The sequence below is a fragment of the Homo sapiens genome, chromosome 4 (assembly GCF_000001405.40).
Source record: "Homo sapiens chromosome 4, GRCh38.p14 Primary Assembly".
Taxonomy (NCBI): domain Eukaryota; kingdom Metazoa; phylum Chordata; class Mammalia; order Primates; family Hominidae; genus Homo; species Homo sapiens.
The window spans coordinates 36,822,845-36,843,417 of NC_000004.12; the positions used below are offsets into that span (position 1 = coordinate 36,822,845).

The following is a 20,573-nucleotide window of genomic DNA, read 5'->3' on the forward strand; positions in this document are numbered from 1 at the left end:
AGACCATAAGCCAGGAAGAAAACTGTGAGTCCCAGAGTGGGAGAGGGAGAGAGACTGCCTGTGTGATATACTCTCCCATTGGTGAACCTGGCAATCCAGGTTAACCCTATGCAGTCCTAGAGCTGATTTAGTGAGTGGTGGGGAGTATATGAGGAGGGGTGGCACTGGGATATGCTTTGAATGCACTCCCAGACTCCAGCAGGATCAGAGGAAAGACGTTCCTGATCCTACCTCACAGGGGACCTCACAGAAGTCAGCCAGTTAATTCAGGCAGTGGTTATAGGTGGAGAGAAGCTCCTGACTGAGATGTGCAATATAATCTTGTGTGGGAATGAACCCCCTTGGCCAGAACCAAGGGGTGAGTGGGGAGTGTGCTATAGTCATGGGCAGTACTGGCTACATGGATGAACCTAGAGGGGCATGGTGTGAATGACAGACAATTTCTGTCTTCCTGGGAATGGCTTATGGCCTGGGGCATTTTTGAGTTCTGAGCACAGGCTGCCTGGAACCACAATAGCTGCTGCTAATGGAACACTGTGGGTGTGAGATCTGCCTTTCCAAGTGAGTGGCAGCAAGGTGGGGCTTACTGCCACCTGCTAACCCCACTCCCCTTGCAGATCCTTTTGTGCAGCAGAGGCAGCTGTGCTCCTCCATGGAACATCACACCAGTAGCCAGATAATTGCCCTCCAATTCCGATTACGCCCATTGCTTTCACCCCCAGGTGGGGAGCCAGAGCATAGATTGCCTGGCCCAGCCCCCGCCTGGCTTTGCCCCTACACCCTCCCTGGTAGCTTAACACAACGGACAGGGACTTTTGGGAACTCCATCGCCCTGCCCACTGCCAGAGTACTTACCTTGGGTAACGTAAGGCAAGCACAAATCTCACCACTACCACCGCAGCTGGCTCTCATTTGCAAGTTTCACCTCTTGGCGGGAGGCCAGCGGACACAGTCCATTACGGCATCTGCAGCACAATAACTGGGCCCAAGAAGGAGAAAACTTTTGTGCAACCGCAGCTGTCACCACTGACTACACCACTCTGACTAACCAGAAGGTCTCGAGTCTTTCCACCTAACCAATACATTACCACTGCTGTTGGCATTTGAGACAGCCAAAACACTAAGGCTATTTATAACCAAGGAAATTTCACAAGAGTCTACATCACTCCCAAGTCCAAGGTAACCTACATCAGAACTGGTGTTGGTAACTGCTGCTGGGGGACTAGAGGACAGATCACATCACTGGACCCCTTGCAGACATTCCCCAGTACAAGCCTGGAGTTTGGCAGCCACAGTGGGCAGCTAGACTGAGAGGAGCAGCAGGATTCACGGTAGTCTGGCCCTCAGGGACTTCTACTCCTAGGGGAAAGAGGAGTGCACCACATCAAAGGAGCACCTTATGGAGCAAAAGAATTTGGACTGCCAGCCTTGAACCCCAGAACTCTCCACCTGTGGGAAGTTTCTTTCAGCAGAGGCCCAGGTGCAGTGCTGGACTTGGTGGGGAAAGTCTCCATCTCTACCCCAAAGTCAGGTAACCGTGGTCTCATGACGTGTCTTGGAGAAGGGGATTTCTTCTTCCCCTCATGCACCATTACAGAAACAGCTGGGCATCTCCCATAGGAGCTTGGTGGGTGCACCTGTGGACAACCTTTTTGGAACATCTCAGGGTAACTGCATCCCCACAGGAGGAATGCCCTCCAGGTTCAAGCTTGCACAAGGGGTAGAGTCACAATCCCTCTCTACATGGAACATAAGCATTCCTGCAGATGAAAAGAAGTGTCTGTCTGATCTGAATAGCTACAATTCTTGATCAAGAGTGTCATTTGGAGATGGATTGCTTTCCTGCTGTTCTGATAGGGAAGCTGAGGTGGTTCCCTCCCTTCCTCCTGAAAAGAACAAGATGTGTTTCACTGAGAGATATGCACAGCTACCTCTGTCAAGGCTGGAACTTATGTCATCCATTGGGTATTGGAATTATCCACCTGCTTCTGCTTTAGCCACGACCTTTACCTGTGGACACCTCCTACTGGCCTAAAGCCTGAACTTCAACCCTGTGAATAAAATACTGGAAAATAAATAAATAAGTGCACCACTAGGGAGCAAGATATGCTTCATGACACTTCGGTCATTTTGGCCCATAGGAGACAGCTAACCTGCTCACATACTGAGCACATTGCTACTACAATAAGCATCTGAGAAAGCCATCATACAAAGACTTCCTATAACCACGGTACTTTACAGATTCTTCACTTGCTGAAGGTAATCCAGAACCAAGTTAGGTTACAATAAACTATAAATATTAAAGTCACATCCTCAAGGGGCAAAAAATTAAATTACAAAGAAACACAGATGAATCAAAAATAAATGCAGAAATAATTAGATAATAATCCTCTCTATCCTGATGAGAGGGAACCAGAAAAATAATTCTGGCAATACGATAAAACAACATTCTATAACACCTCTAAAAGATCACACTAGCTCTCCAGCTATGAATCCAAACCAAGATGAAATATTTGAAATAACAAATACAGAATTCAAAATGTTGATTATTAAGTTACTCAAGGAGATATAAGAGAAAGGTGAAAATCAACACAAAGAAATTAAAAAATTTATAGGATATAAATTAAAAATTTTCAAAAGAGTTAGATATTTTAAATAAAAAACATCAGAACATTTGGAAATTTAAAAAACACATGTAGGGAATTAAAAATTCGGTGAAAAGAACAGAAGGGAGAAGTCTGCCCCCATGATCCAATCACGTCCTCCCAGGCCCCTCCTCCAATACTGGGAATTACAGTTCAACATGAAATTTGTGTGAGGACACAGAGTCAAGCCCTAACAAAGGAGAAATAAAGTCTTTTTCAGTCAAGCAAATGGGAACCAAAAGCAATCAATCAAAAGTAGTTATTCTTATATCAGACAAAACAAACTTTAAAGCAACAACAGTAAAAAAGAAAGACAAAGAAGGTCATTACATAGAGATAAAAGGATTAGTCCAACAGGAAAATACCGCAATCCTACATACATATTCATCTAACTCTGAAGCTCCCAGATTCATAAAACAATTACTACTGAACTTAAGAAAAGAGAAAGACAACAATACAATAATAGTGGGTGACTGCAACACTTCACAGAAAGCACTAGACCGAGAGTCAAGGGAGAAAGCCAACAGAGAGACACTGGATTCAAACTGTATTCTAGAACAAATGGACCTAACAGATATTTACAGAACATTCTACACAGGAACTGTAGAATATACATTCATTCAATCAGCACATGGAACATTCTCCAAGATAGATAACATGATAGGCCACAAAACAAATCTCAATAGATTTTAGAAAATGGAAATTATATCAAGTACTTTCTCTGACCAAAGAAGAATAAAACTAGAAATCATTCCAAAGGAACCCTCAAAACCATACAAACACTTGGAAATTAAACCATCTACTCCTGAATTATTTTTGGGTTAGCAATGAAATCAATATGAGAATTTTAAAATTCTTTAAAATCAATAACAGTGATACAAGTTATCAAAGCCTCTGAGACACAGTAAAAGCACAGTAAAAGGAGTGTTAAGAGGAAAGTTGATAGCACTAAATGCCTACAACGAAAAGTCTGAAAGATGAAAAATCGACAACCTAATGTCAAACCTCAAGATACTGGAGAAACTGGAACAAACCAAATCCAAAGATAGAATAAGAAAAGAAATAACAAACATCAAACCAGAACAAAATAATGTTTAAACAAACAAACAAACAAAAAAGATTGATGAGATAAAAAATTGGTTCTTTGTAAAGATAAAGAAAATTGATAGACCATTAGCTAGGTGATGTGGTTTGGCTGTGTCCCCACCCAAATCTCATCTTGAATTCTCACACGTTGTGGGAGGGGCTGGGTGGGAGGTAGTTGAATCATGGGGCAGGTCTTTCCCGTGCTGTTCTTGTGATGGTGAGTGGGTCTCACAAGATCTGATGGTTTTAAAAAATGGGAATTTTCCTGCACAAGTGCTCTCTCTTTGCCTGTTGCCATCCATGTAAGACGTGGTTTAGTTCTCCTTGTCTTTCACCATGATTATGAGGCCTCCCCAGCAGTGTGGAACTGTAAGTCCATTAAACCCCTTTATTTTGTAAATTGCCCAGTCTTGGGTATGTCTTTATCAGCAGCATGAAAACAAACTAATACAGTAAATTGGTACCAGTAGAGTGGGGTACTGCTGAAAAGATACCTGAAAATGTGGAAGCGACTTTGGAACTAGGTAACAGGCAGAGGTTGGAACAGCTTGGAGGGCTCAGAAGAAGACAGGAAAATGTGTAAAAGTTTGGAACTTCACAGAGACTTGTCGAATGGATTTTTCCAAAATGCTGATAATGATAAGGACAATGAAACAACAACAAAAAAACTTCCTGAGCCAGATGTAGTCACAGCCAAACTCCACCAGATATTAAAGGAATTGATACCAACCACACTGAAACTATTCCAAAAGATTGAGAAAGAGAGAATTCTCCCTAACTACTTCATGAAGCCAGTATCACTTTGATACCAGATACAGGAAAGGGTGTAACAAAAAAAGAAAACTACAGATTAATATCCCTGATTAACATAAATGCAAACATCCTCAACAAAATACTAGCACAATGAATTCAACAGCACATTAAATAAGATAATTCACAATGATCAAGTGGGTTTTGTCCCTGGGATGGAAGGATGCTTCAATATACACAAGTCAATAAATGTGATTCATCGCATAAGCAGAATTAAAAACAAAAACCATACGATCATCTTAATAGACACAAGAAAAGCATTCAATAAAATCCAGCGTCCTTTATGATAACAGCCCTCAAAAAACCATAAATAGAAGTAACACACCTCAAAATAATAAATGTCATATATGACACATCCACAGCCAACATCATATTGCATGGAGGAAAAGTTGATAGCATTGCCCTTAAGATCTGAACAAGACAAGGATGACCACTTTTACCACTTCTAGTCAATGTAGTACTGGAAGTCCTAGCCAGAGCAATTAGACAGCAGAAAGAAATAAAGGGCAATGAAATTGGAAAAGAGAAGTCTATCCCTGTTTGCTAATGATATGACTGTATACCTAGAAAACTCCAAAGTTTCTTCCAAAAAACTACTCAATTTGATACATGAATTCAGTAAAGCCTTAGGTTACAAAATCAATGTATACAAATCAATAGCACTGCGATCTACCAACAACAATCAAGTTGAGAACCAAATCAAGAACAGAGTCCCATTTATAATAGTTGTAAAAAAAAAATAACTGAAAATACACTTAAGCAAGGAGGTGAAATATATCTCTAAGTAGAACTATAAAACACTGCTGAAAGAAATCCTACATGGCACAAACAAATGAAAATACATCCCATATTCATGGATTGGAAGAATCAATATTGTTAAAATAACCATACTGCCAAAGCAATCTACAGATTCAGTGTAATTCCTATCAAAATACCAAGATCATTTTTCACAGAATTTTTTTTGATCCTAAAATTCATATGGAACCAAAAAAGAGCCTGAATAGTCAAAGCAATCCTAAGCAAAAAGAATCAATCTTGAGGCTTCACATTACTCAACTTAAATTATACTATAAGGCTATGGTAACCAAAACAGCATGGTACTAGTATAAAAGTAGATACATAGACAAATGAAACAGACAGAGAACCCCAGAAATAAAGCCAAATGCTTACACCCAACTGATCTTTGACAAAGCATACAAAAACATAAATTGGGGAAAGGTCACTCTATTCAATAAATGGTGCTGGGAACACTGAATAGCCACATGTAGAAGAGTGAAACTGGATCCCTGTCATCATATAGAAAAATTAACTCAAGATGGATTAAAGATTTAAATATAAGACCTGAAACAATAAAAATTCTAGAAGAAAAGCTACAGAAAAAGATTCTGGATATTGGCCTAGCAAAGAATTTATGACTAAGACCCCAAAGGTGAATGTAACTAAAACAAAAATGAATAAATGGGACCTAATTAAACTAACAAGCTACTGCACAACAAAATAAATAATCATCAGAGTAAACAGATAACCCATGGAATGAGAGAAAGTATTTGCAAACTATGCCTCCAACAAAGGACTAATACTTAATATCTATAAAGAACTCAAAAAAAATCAGCAAGAAAAGAATAATCCCACTGAAAAATGGGCAAATGCCATGACTAGAGTTTTCTCAAAAGAAGATATACAAATTGCCAAAAAAAAATGAAAAAATGCTCAACATCACAAATCATCAGGGAAATGCAAATTAAAACCACAATGAGATACAACTTTACTCCAGCCAGAATGACCATTATTTTTTAAATAAATAGACGTTGGTGTGGATATGGTGAAAAGGGAATGCTTATACACTGCTAATGGAAATTTAAATTAGTACAACCTCTGTGGAAAACAGTATGGAGATTTCTCAAAGAACTAAAAAGAGATCTACCATTCAATCTATCGGTACCACTACCGGGTAGCTACCCAAAACAGAAGGAGGCATTAGATCAAAAAGACAACTGCACACATATGTTTATCAAAGCACAATTCACAATTGCAAAGATATGAAACTAACCTAAGTGCTAATCAACCAATGAGTGGATAAAGAACATGTGGTATATACACACCATGGCATACTACTCATCCATTAAAAAGAACAAAATAATGCCTTTCACAGCAACTTGGGTGGAACTGGAGGTCATAATTCTAAGTGAAGAAATTCAGGAATGGAGAACCAAATGTTTTATGTGCTCACTTATAAATGGGAAGCTAAACTATGCGTACGCAAAGGCATATAGAGTGGTATAATGGACATTGGAGACTCAGAAGGGGGAAGCTGTGGAAGGGGGGAAGGGATAAAAAACTACATATTGGATACAATGGACTTTACTTGGGTGACGGGTGCACTAAAATTTCAGACTTCACCACGTTATAATTCATCCATGTAACCAACACCCTTTGTACCCCTAAATCTATTGAAATTTTAAAAGTATAAAAAATAAAAACAAAGGCATCAAGGAGCAAAGAAGGCCTTCTTAATATTTGGCATACATATAGAGGTAAGCCACAGGTTTCATGAATAAGCTGGAATCTATAGGATACAAGAAAAATGTAGCTCTATTCTTTTATGTATCTTCTTATGTGAATCTGTTTTCCTCTGTCATTTAAATAAATTTCAAGATTTCCATAGCTTTTCCAGAAATTCTCAGGAAATAAAATCTAGTCCAGTTTAATATTTATCTTACATTCTCATCCAATATCAAATGCCCCCCATTTACCAAACTTGGACCAGCCTTAGGCAGGTTCTGCTGTGGGAGAAGAGGATTCTGGTGGGTTTCTCTACCATTGCTTCCCTCTATCTCATTCTCCTCATTAGGTATGGCTATAGTGCCATCCAGGATTGGAGCAGGTAGAGAATGAAGAAATAAAATTTATAAAATAAATCCTACTGTTTCAATTGTAATCCTACAGAAGTGCCTTCTGGCTATAAGTGATTTAAAAACCTGCTTCTGTCTCAAAAGAGATGTCTTTGTGAGTCCCTTAGGGATGTTTATTTCCAGTGTTGATGGAAGAATGCATATCTCTGATCCCTTTTATTCTTTTTCTCCCTGGACTTTGAAGAATCCCTACAGAGGTGGCCTCACTCCTCAAAACAGGTTTGATTGAGCAAGATTTTTTTCAAGACAGTTTGCTGGCTTGCTTTCATGAAGTCTATAGAGAACCCTTTTCTCTGCTGCCCATGATGGTATAGCTGGCTATGGGGCACAGCCTCACATATTTACACTCTCGAAGGCATGAATCAAGTTCCAGTCCCTGTGTCTCACAAAGTCATGGATACTTGTTTTCTTAGATTGAGTTTCTTAAATCAAAGCTTGAAGAAGGGATTTCATAACATTTAGCTTATTGAGGCTATCTCTCAGGAGAAAGACAGAGAAACAGGAGAGCGAAAAAGGAACAGATTTTAATTGGTGTCTAGTTTCAGCTGATCCAACGAGGGTGTCTGGAACATGAATTGCCCCACAGAATTGATCTCAATGTAAGGCAAGGGAGCTCATGCTTTGCATCAGTTATCATTGACTGCAGAAAGCATCTAGGGTAGAGAAATGTAACCTCTGAGAGGGAGAGAGAAAAAGAGAGAGAGAGAGCTATTATGTTGTCAGTATACAAGCTCAGGGAGAGATCTGAGCAGGACACTAACAGCATCTACTACACCTGCCAAGCTATTTCTAAGTTTCTCTCTTACTGAATTTGCAGTGGTGGGGAAGCACTCTCTTCTCCCTGTGAGGAGGGCCTTAGAATACAGAGCACACCAACTGTTCTCCAAAGAAATTCTTATTCTTGCCCTCTTGAATATTCTATTAACTCTTTAGCCTTCTCTCGGCTTAGTCTTGAGATGGCTGAGTTAATACTGGTAGAACTCATTTCACACCCTCTGAGCATGGCTCACTTTGACATTTTAGCACTTGCAAAGGGATGTGGGATATTTAGATCCTATAATATTGTTCTTGGTTTGGGCTAAAATTTTGAAAAAATAGATAAACTTACACTTATCCTCCTCTTAGCACTCCACCCTCTCAAAAATAAAAAGTAGGAAAATCTGTAACTCTTGGTATTAAGATGGCAAAAGAGGCTGGGCACGGTGGCTCAGGCCTGTAATCCCAGCACTTTGGGAGGCCGAGGCGGGCGGATCACGAGATCAGGAGATGGAGACCATCCTGGCTAACACAGTGAAACCCGGTCTCTACCAAAAACACAAAAAATTAGCCAGGTGTGGTAGTATGCACCTGTAGCTTCTCGGGAGGCTGAGGCAGGAGAATCACTTGAACCTGGGAGGCGGAGTTTACAGTGAGCCGAGAAAGCACCACTTCACTCCAGCCTGGGTGACAGAGCAACACAGCGAGACTCCATCTCAAAAAAAAAAAAAAAAAATAGGGCAAAAGAAAGCATAGAGAATTGTCTATGGTTCAAGGAATTCTGCATATTTCTAGTAGACCTCCTCTGCTAATAAACCAGAGAGTGTGTTTCAGTATTGAGATCTGCTTCCTTTTGGTATTCTGGAATTATTTACTACAGTTAATTTTGCTTGTAATTAACCCAAATCATTCTGTAACAATTAAGCATTTTCTTCTGAAAGCCTTATTATTTCTCTGTACTTTCTGTGGCTACTGAACTGAGTCCCCTTCTTTTCTCAGTGGGAAGTGACCACAATATTACGATCCTAGCACAGGTACAGGCATAATCAGCCCTCAATTTTCAACAGCAGGTACTACAGACTTTCCCCTCATCCTACTCCATCTTCTCTAAACAGCATGCCTGATTTTAATAGTATAAGAAATCCTGTGCAAAACTTTCCATACTGCCGTTGATTAGAAATGACAAAGGACACTTGTGTTCCATGCAGTTAGTAGCCCTTGGGAATCTGTGTGCTAGGGTTAGCACTAAAATGGAATGAGTAATAATTCTGACTGTGCTTGCTACAGAATAGAGGTGCAATGGCCTTTGGTGACACAGAAAGTCATTTGAGGCAATTCCTACTTTAAGGCAGCTATTGAAGAATAATTTGCTGATGCATTTTTAATAGCATTAATCTGTTTCCACTTTTTTGGGTTTTTGCAGTTGTCAGCCAATAAGTAATGCATTATAGGACATTCTCAGTTTGTGGAACAGGCATATTGATTTTCAATGAAAATATGACAGGCAGAAAGATTGCCTGAACACTAAATTCATTCATAGCTGAGTAACCAGATCTATCCAGAAAGGTGGAGTATAAAACACACGGATAAACAAAAATATGTTCAAAGAATCATTGCCCAATTTCAGTTTTCAAATCTACACTTATTACTGCATTTGCCAATAAAATAACATTTTCTTGGAAATTATTAACTTCTATATTTTTATTATAGATTTTCATCAGTTTTTTTAATGAACAAAGGATTATAAATAATCTAGAATTGAAATTTCTGTGTAAGTGCAGAAATAAAATTTCGAGTTTGGGCCAAGCACAGTGGCCCACACCTGTAATCCTAGCACTTTGGGAGGCCGAAGCCAGCAAATCATCTGACCTCAGGAGTTCGAGACCAGCCTGGGAAACATGGCAAAACCCCATCTCTATTAAAAGAACAAAAAATTAATTGGGTGTGGTGGTGCACACCTGTAATCCCAGCTACTCCGGAGGCTGAGGCAGGAGATCCTCTTAAACCCGGGAGGCAGAGGTTGCAGTAAGCTGACATCAAGCTGCTGCACTCCAGGCTGGGCGACAGAGCAGGTCTCCATCTCAAAAAAGAATAGGAAATATGAATTCTAGTTTGGAGAAAAATTGCTGGTTTAAAAAGCTTTCTAACTCAAAAATTGGTTGAAATAAAAATATTGTTTTCCTCATTTATTCTCTATTCTGCAAGACAAGCTAAGAGGCATTTAGACAACTGCTGCCTTATTTAACATACAGGAAATGTATAGAAGCAGGATATTCGCAATGTAATATCATTTAATAAAGGAGAACTCTAAGGGAAAGCATAAAATGTAACAGAGTAATCCTTTTAGTGAAAAACTTTTCCAAGATTAGTTCTTGTCTTCCAGTTAGTAGAAATAAAATAAACACATCATTCCTTCATCTTTTATGGCTAAGAATATTATTGATAGGAGCACTGAAAGATGCAGGAAATAGAGTTTCCAATTAAATATTTTCCAATTAAAATTTTATTATAAAAAGTGCATTATACCACACAAGTTAAAAACTAAGTTTTCCTGAAATTTGGACCTAATTTTTGGACTCTTTATAGAGCTTCAGAAGGACCTTGAGTACATATTTAAAACCTTTCAATTAACTTTGAGACTGAGCCTGAAGACAGAGACAGCAAGAGTGGTTTGGTGATTAAAGTAAAGATATTCATGTAATCTTTCTAACTAAATTGGCTCTTCAGTAGGCATGATAAAATCAAGTATTTTTCAATACCAGAGCTCAGCTAAGAGGCCCAGCAAGGAACAAGGAGAGCTGTGGAAAGAATTTAGAATAATTGGGTCAACAGTTTGTATTCCTTGTGTTTTCTGGAGAAGGATAAGCCCAAACTGGTAAAAATAATTGATGATAATTTCTAAGACCCAGCAAATAACACCCATGAGGACCTACAGGTAAAGAGAGTAAAGTAGTTGAGATCAGTGTGCTGACAGGCTGCAGATAAGAATTTCTAGAAGTTTCTTCTTGATCAGGACTCTAGGGACTAAGAGCTATAGCAAAAATGTCACTCACCCTCACAGTTTACAGGGAACATTTTCACAGTGAGCTGCAAAGAATAATGGACTAGCTTGAGACTTAAGACCTTTAAAGATACTAATCTAATCACTTATAGAGTAGGCTGCATTTGTCTTCCTACTTGAGCCTAAACAAATGATCTTTGCTCTAAAAATGACTGATTTGTGCTAGAAAGAAAGGGAAAGAATGAGCAAATTATTAGACAATATGAGAGCCTTAAGGAAAATAAAAAAAAAGGAGTTTATACCAACAGCAACAAAAATAACTGCTCTGAAACAGAAGAAAATTAGAACCAGTGAAACAAAATATGTGACAAAGAGAAAAAAAACTGTTTGCTCCCAGATATTTAAATAACACAAGAGGCCTCTCTCCTGGCCTTAGTAGGTCAGTCTTACCCTTACAAGAAAGCATCCACAAAGCAAAAAAAGAAAAAAAAAAAAAAAAAAAAAAGACGCCAAGGCAAACAGGAAGAATTCTGGGCCTAGTCTTTGGAATAAAATATGTGTAGTGATGGTCAGTGACACTCAGTGACAGGCATTTATAGGCTAAACAGGAGATGCAGAGTCTTCCTGAAGCAGCAATTTAATATGAACCACATATTTAATTCCAAATTTTCTGATAGCCACTCTAAAAAGAAACAGGTAAAATTAATTTTAAGAATACATTTTATTTAAACAATCTGTCCAACATAATAACACTTCAGTATGTATTTGATATAAACATTATTAAAGATATATCTTAAATTATTTTTTACTTAGTAAATTTTTGATACCTGGTATGTATTTTAAACCTACAGTACATCTCTATTAGGACTAGCCACTTTTCAAGTCCTCAAGAGCCACATGTGGTCAACAACTGGCATATTGGAAAGTTCATTCCTAATATATAAATCCAAAATATGGCAGTAAGCCAAATAAGGCTTGTGATACTGCATAATGTCTACCTAATTCTTTGCCTCTTGATCCCATCCCACCCTTCCTCCAGCAACCTCACACACTCAAATATGTATGCAAACACGCAAACACACACACACACACACACACACACACACACATATATTTCCCCTCTGCTGTTTCTTTTCTCTCTTAAGCTAGAAAAAAAAAAATCCAAGCTCTCTCATACTTAAATGCAAAGTGAAAAACCTTTTCTTTCTTCATTCTCCTCTCACTGAGACACCACCAGTTTCCTCAGAGCAATATATGCTAATTCTTTCCATTTTCTCATACCTTAATCACTTTTGAAACCACATCTGGAGCATTATACAAGTCTAGGGTCTTTATCCACAGAGAATACAATAAAAGAGATACTCATGATTCTTTCTCAAGCAATTGAAATTTACCTTCGGTTCCCGACCACTCCATAGAACCTGCTTTCACCACGATGACAATTTGTCTCTATTGCACAGTGCATGACACATTCAGTCTTTCCATGCTCTGTCAGTCAACAGTGTTAGATGCTGTAGACTCTGCCCTCCTGTCCGGATTTCCCTGACATCAACATCACCTGACTTTAATCTTCCCTCTCATGTAGCTTTTTCTTTGTCTCTTCTCAAGATTACATTTTTGAGCCCATTCTGTTCACACTGATGGTCCCTGGGATCTGTACTCATCTCTCTCCTTTCTCACATTAAAAACTTTCATGAACTTTTACACATTCCCATGTCATCAGTTAAGGTGTATTCTTCCAGCTGTATTTTTTACCCCCGATTACAATTTCTTTTTTTTTTCTAATCTCATGTTTTATTTTTTATTTATATATATATATATTTTTTTATTATACTTTAAGTTCTCAACAAACCATATTGCTAGCTTCTTAAGGTGTATCTAGTGCTTAGATATACCTTAGGGATTTCAAACTTAAAATTTCTACAAAAGTTATCTTCCTTTCAGGAATACTCTTGAATTCCCTGTCAAATCAAAAGCATGCCCATCTTCTCAATCACTAGACTCAGCCATCTGTCACCATTATTTGTTCAAGCTACCTGAATCCCACAGTTATTCAGTCACTGTACCCATTATTTCACTGACTTAATTATTTATTTAAATGGTACCTGCCTTTCCATTGCCATCATCACTACTTCATTTAGATAATTGTCAAAGAGACACAATAGAAAAGGCATCTGGTTTTGAAACATGCTTTCTAACCTTGCTTCATACCATCCATGTGAAAAATATGCAAGAAAACATAATGGTCACTCAACATCTCACTAAAAATCACCCTTCAAAGGACCCTCTAGTGTTCACAATAAATGCAAACACCATAGAATAGCCCACAGATGTTCATTTTCCAATCTGCAGTCTCATAGCTTTAACTTTAAAACTGTATTCTTCGATAATACAAACGAACTTATTTTTCTCTAGAAGAACTTGTGTGCCTTAACACATCTTGCATCCTCTATCTTGGACATCTTTCACCGTAATAATTCCTACATGATGGTTGCCTAATATTTTTTATCTATCACCAGACTTTTCTGAGAAGTGAACTTCTACAAGATTCTTTCTTTGATACCATCCATCACCTGTCTGTACATATTTAATCATAGCATGTGGTTAATAGAATTATAATTGAATGCCGGGTGCAGTGGTTCACGACTGTAATCCCAGCACTTTGGGAGGCCGAGGCAGGTGGATCACGAGGTCAGAAGATAGAGACCATCCTGGCTAACACGGTGAAACCCCGTCTCTACTAAAAAGACAAAAAATTAGCTGGGCGTGGTGGCGGGCGCCTGTAGTCCCAGCTACTCAGGAGGCTGAGGCAGGAGAATGGTGTGAACCCAGCAGGCGGAGCTTGCAGTGAGCCGAGATCACGCCACTGCACTCCAGCCTGGGTGATAGAGCGAGACTCCGTCTCAAAAAAAAAAAAACAAAAAAAAAAACAAAAAAAACCAAAAGAATTATAATTGTATGTTCAATTATTCATCTTAGAGGCCTTATCCTAGTGGCTACCAATCCCCTCAAATATAATAGAGGCATGAACATAAAATGAATGAATGAATGACTTCATGGTGTCTATGTATGACACTACAGAATTTGAATTTGGGAATACAATAAAAACTCATGACATTAAGAGCAAAGATGGCACAAGAAGGAAACACAAGGTTACATTGATGGCATGAAAAGACAGGATTTTGGTTTCTAAACTATATATTTTAGTTTCTAAACTGATAGACCCTTGGCAAGAATCTAAGAGGTCCTCCAGATAATTGGAAGTGCACACTTGGGAAGTACTCATAAACAGAAGTTTAAATTACAATTTAAAGTTAAGGTAAGAGAAAAACTGACTAGAGAAAAATTAATATTATAATACAAAGAAACTCAACAGATGAATTTCCATTGCTGATAAGGCTGCATAATAATTACTGAAGAAAATAATAGACATGATGTTACTTATATATAGTTATGGGCTTAGGAATAGGTGTAATAAATTGGTTAAGCTCAAAATTAATTCCTAATATTTTCTTTGAAGGCTCTAGTCATTAAGATTAGACTACACAAAGAGATTTTTATTAAAGCAAGAGAGGGTTGGTATACCAGAAAATTTGGAAACATAATTCTGCATATATAAAAAATATAGATTTTTAAACATCAGTAAATTATCAGGATAACTTACTCAATTCTTAAAGATTTCATAACTGAGAGGAGAAAACAGACATAAAGAGCAGAAATGTTGTTGAGTCCACTGAAGTTTGGTGAATACAGACTTAACAAACCTCTATCTTTCTTTGGGGGTAAAGTTCAAGAAAATAGCAGATTCTAATTTTTTTATTGTCTGCGTAGCTCATGGACGAAACACACATGCACGCACTCACACACAGACACACAATGAGAATCAAAATAAATAAGCTTTGGTTAGTATCACAGAGGACCTGTTTTATGAACAAGACTCATGGAAAATCACTTAGAGTTGAGATGAAGAGGATGTAGCATTGACATTCATAAACCACACACCCTACAACAAAGGTGCCTCATGGGGCCTCAGTATGTGCAGACGGCCACACAGAGGACCACATACACCCCAGTCCCCCAGAGCCCTCACAGTACTTATATTCCTCAGAAAATAAAGCAACCAGTGCAAGTGCTGAATAGGTTGGGATAAAGATTTTGCCACTTGGCTGCAGGGTAGTTTGTGATAAAAATTAAGTTTAGTTAAAGAAAAATAAAGAAAGTTACATTTCTTGTCCACCAGTTATACACACTGTGCTTAAGGAAACAGCAAAATAGAGCCTGGAAAAAGAAAATATTCAAAGGAACATGGTGGTGGTCTTCAAATATTAGAAGGACTTCAAAATGTAATTTGTTCTGGGTATTGTTTCAGGAGACAGAACTAATTTCCAGCAAGTGGAAACTGTAAAGTGACAGATTCTTGGTTTTTAAAGGAAGTTCTACTAACAAGAGTCTTTTAACAGTAGAATGAATCTGATGTACTAAACTCTACCCTTGGAGCCTAGATGAGAACAAATATGAAGTGCTATAGAAGCAATTCTTCTGTTTGGTAAGACAACATTCCTCATGCTTTCTAATGTACTACCACAATGGCAAGAATGCTCACAGTATATCAGAGCTTCCTCACATGAAGTAGGAACTGGTACTCTAGATGGGAAGCTAAAAAAATAACAAGAGTTTTAGACATACCTTAGGGATTTCAAACTGTGTTTTAACAAAATGTAAAGCAAAAGGGACCTGTAGAATTATGTGGAAACACTTAGAAGTTTAACAGGTTTTGTTTGAATGGTTGTGCCTTTTATGCTTTGCCTGAATCATTTAGCCAACTCAGACTAATAGATAATAAGATGCTGCCAAGGATAACACTGGTTCTGTCATGCATCTACAGTACTAAGATTTAAAGCTAAATGAATGCATTCTTGTAGGAAAAATAATGACTAGAGGAATTCAGCATTCACATTGAAAGAAAATTTTGTGAAAGAAAAACATCTGTCATTGTTGTCCGCTTTTCTAACTGTAATAAAGATATGTAGGTGATATAGTTGCAATTGAAAAGCAAAGTCTTTTGTGTCTGATCAGCTCTTGACAATGGATGATTAACCATCTGGCTAATCGCAAGTTATTTAATGAGAGAGTTTCTTTATAATTTTTTTTCATTTAAGCATTATTAATTCTGTAGTTGCAAGGATCATTTTATGGGATAGCTGTTATAAAATATTTTAAAATCACTGATATTTTCACAATTAATATTTAATACTCACAGCTTTGTGTTTCTAGGCCTTGTCTTATGCTCTGTTCTTATGGACACTGGCCTCTGTAATCATGAAAGTAATTACATCTATAACCTTGGATGGCAGGTGCCATTAATTAAAAATTGTTTATGTAGAACAGCCTCGATATTAGATCAACTAGCAGGAAACCTACTATATTCAATTACAATGATCCGTAACAAAAATACAAATTAACGACTATAAATACAGTGATGGGGTGATAAAAATCTTCAATTACCATATCTTATTATATTAAAACTTATGACCACAAAGTTGATTTTTATATGTAATTCTCTTTGGTATATTAAAAGAAGAGAAAACTAAAATAAAAAATGTATAATTACTGGTGAAGGCATTCAGTTAGTCATTCACAGAATTTAAAACTAGGACTCAGAGTCCCAAGCTTTGATACAGCTGATGAAGTTACATGTCAAGTGACAGCAGTAATTTCTTATAAATGCGGCAACATTTTTTATTTGATCTTTTTATATTAAATAATTCTTAAGTCACACCCTATTCATAGACATCTAACATTGCTAAGGACTGCAAACAAATATAGCATAGTAGCTCCAGTAATTTTAGAAAGCTGTGTCTTTCAATATGTTTTTATTGTGTCTTCTTCATGCCTTTCACCATGATAATACTACTAATACTACCAATAATACTAACAGTAGCTAATAATACTAATGATACCTAGTGTTTATTGAGTTCATATACTAATTCAAACACTTTTAAGTTTTTGGATATATTCTCATTTGATCCACCAACACACAAGAGAGATATTCTTTTATTCTGATTTTACCATTTGCAAAGAAACTGAGGCTTAGAGAAGTAAAGTAACTTGTTCAGATTGTTAGAACTGGATTCCAGGTTCTAAATAGGACTTTGAGGCTCACCCCTTTCACCACTAATCCATGCTGCCTCTAGAAGGCTAAAATCTGTGTGCTCTTTGCACCTTAAAAAAAGATGTTGCCTTTATAGCAGCATGATTTATAGTCCTTTGGGTATATACCCAGTAATGGGATGGCTGGGTCAAATGGTATTTCTAGTTCTAGATCCCTGAGGAATCGCCACACTGACTTCCATACTGGTTGAACTAGTTTACAGTCCCACCAGTAGTGTAAAAGTGTTCCTATTTCTCCACATCCTCTCCAGCACCTGTTGTTTCCTGACTTTTTAATGATCGCCATTCTAACTGGTGTGAGATGGTATCTCATTGTGGTTTTGATTTGCATTTCTCTGATGGCCAGCGATGGTGAGCATTTTTTCATTGTTTTTTGGCTGCATAAATGTCTTCTTCTGAGAAGCACACATATGTTTATTGCGGCATTATTCACAATAGCAAAGACTTGGAACCAACCCAAATGTCCAACAATGATAGACTGGATTAAGAAAATGTGGCACATATACACTATAGAATACTGTGCAGCCATAAAAAATGATGAGTTCATGTCCTTTGTAGGGACATGGATGAAATTGGAAATCATCATTCTCAGTAAACTATTGCAAGAACAAAAAACCAAACACCGCATATTCTCACTCATAGGTGGGAATTGAACAATGAGAACACATGGACACAGGAAGGGGAACATCACTCTCTGGGGACTGTTGTGGGGTGGGGGGAGGGGGGAGGGAGAGCATTGGGAGATATACCTAATGCTAGATGACGAGTTAGTGGGTGCAGCGCACCAGCACGGCACATGTATACATATGTAACTAACCTGCACATTGTGCACATGTACCCTAAAACTTAAAGTATAATAAAAAAAAAAAAGATGTTGCCTTTCCCTTTTACTTCACTTTTGGATGAATCTTCTTTTTTTTTTTTTTTTTTTTTTTTTTTTTTTTTTTTTTTTTTGAGACGGAGTCTCGCTCTGTCGCCCAGGCCGGACTGCGGACTGCAGTGGCGCAATCTCGGCTCACTGCAAGCTCCGCTTCCCGGGTTCACGCCATTCTCCTGCCTCAGCCTCCCGAGTAGCTGGGACTACAGGCGCCCGCCACCGCGCCCGGCTAATTTTTTGTATTTTTAGTAGAGACGGGGTTTCACCTTGTTAGCCAGGATGGTCTCGATCTCCTGACCTCATGATCCACCCGCCTCGGCCTCCCAAAGTGCTGGGATTACAGGCGTGAGCCACCGCGCCCGGCCTGGATGAATCTTCTAAATGGAGAATGTTTAATGCCTGAACATTCTAGAAAGAAAAATTTCACCATTCTTAGAGAATTTGTTAAGTAGTAACCACAAGAGTAGGTTGATGATTACTAAGCTATCATTGACCTTGAAAGTATATAAAGGCTTGAATATTGATTAGGAAAATGAATTTTTTTTTAGTGTAGTGCCCTTCTTTATAGTATGGTAGGGTTTGTTCCTTCTACTTAATCCAAGCATATTATTTTTTTGTCACATAACAAACCACCCCAAAACGTGTGGCTGAGATGGCTCATCTCATTTACATGGGGCCTAGCCCATGCTTGTTCACACGGTAACATGATAGAGGTCCTAAATGCAAAAGTTCTCTAGAGTACTCGTCTCGTTACTAACCCAACGTTGCTTTGGTTGCCCCAAGTTTAAGTTCATATTTAAGGGTCAAGAAAGGGACTCTATCCTTTGATAACAGGAATTGCAAATTATGTTAAAAGTGGTACTGATATAGGAATAAAGAGAATCGTGACCATTTTTATACTCTACCCTATAAAGTGAATCAGACTCTTAGAGAACCACGTGAAGAGTTTGTCATTGTCTTTTGAAATGAGAATTCAGTGCCTGGCGCATGACTCACAAACGAAAACAATAAAGTCAAGGCTAAAGGGAAACAAAAAAAAAAAAAAAAAAAGAGGAAGAGAGATGAGCCTGAGTCTGGGGGGAGAAAGCAGTACTTTCTTTCATGTGTGACAACAAGTATTTTGTTTCCCATGGGACATGCATAAATCCTGCAGTGTTAATAATGAGTTACACAGAAATGATTCTATCCAAAACAGTCTCCTTCAGGCAAGTCTGCTTTGGGGTGGACTGCTGAAAGATAGGAGCAGAGGAAAAAATATAAATAACCAGATGGCCGTGACTTTTTGGCTCCAACAGAAAACTGTAGTTGAGAAAGACTGATAGTTCGATCAAAAAAAAAAAATTCCCCAATACAAAATTTCAGCACTTGAAATCTATCACCCACAGAGCGTACCACACTAGAGTATAACTCCAGTAGCCAAGATAGATTTTTATGAGCCTTATGTCTCTTAGCTTCAATACTGGAGAATCTGATATAGCAAAAACGACTGGAGGAGGAGGAGGAGTAAAATGGAATAGACTTCTTTATTCTGTTGTACTGAAATAGCAAGTATTGAAGAAACAGCAACATCAGTGAGCAGGTATGGGAAATTTTGCATTCAGAATATGATCATTTCTCAGCACCTCTGCCCCCACCAACATCCTGGTCCAGGCCTCCATTAATTCTTATGTATTATTGCATTGACCTCCTCTCTGCTTCTCCCCTCTCCGCTACAGTTAATTCTCAGCACAACCAAAGTGACTCTTTTCAAAACTAAGTCAGATCATGTAATCCTCTGCTCAGACCCCTTTCTTTTAGACTAAAAATCAAAGCTATACAATAGCCTACAGGCCTGGAGCAGATATCAAAGTATGTTGCTCAGGTTTTCCTTCAACAAATAACTTGACATCCAGATGCTAGTGATGCAGTTAGTTCAGAGCCTCCAGCAACAGCAACTTCCAGATCTAATGCAGCATTTGAGGCCACACTTTACCCAGGCTGTCCCCAGCCAGTGACTTAAGTATAATGGATACACAAGGACCTGGCTGTTCCTGCCAAATGCAAGACTCTTTTTTAGGCAATTTTTGCTCGGAACCATTGGTTTGTCTGAGATCATGTTAAATATGGGTCACACTGAAGGTAGTTCCTGACCAATTCTGGCCTCCTTTTCTCTCACCTTCCACAGGTATCAGATTTGCATTGCAGTCTAAAGGCTTTCCCTCAACAACTCTGCCCCCTTCCTTCCTTTTTCTTTCATAGGTTGTTGCTCCAAGTGAATTTCTTGCACTCCTAACTCTATCTCAGCATCTGCTACGGACGAAGGCCCTATAGGATCT

At 38.3% G+C, this 20,573-nt stretch overlaps 1 annotated feature.

Moving 5' to 3' along the window:
• Positions 19,284 to 19,383: an enhancer, noted in NCBI's record as "active region_21412". NCBI's record gives its function as "activates an Ori minimal core promoter by ATAC-STARR-seq in GM12878 lymphoblastoid cells {active_cell/tissue: GM12878}" and the evidence as "EXISTENCE:reporter gene assay evidence [ECO:0000049][PMID:35858748]".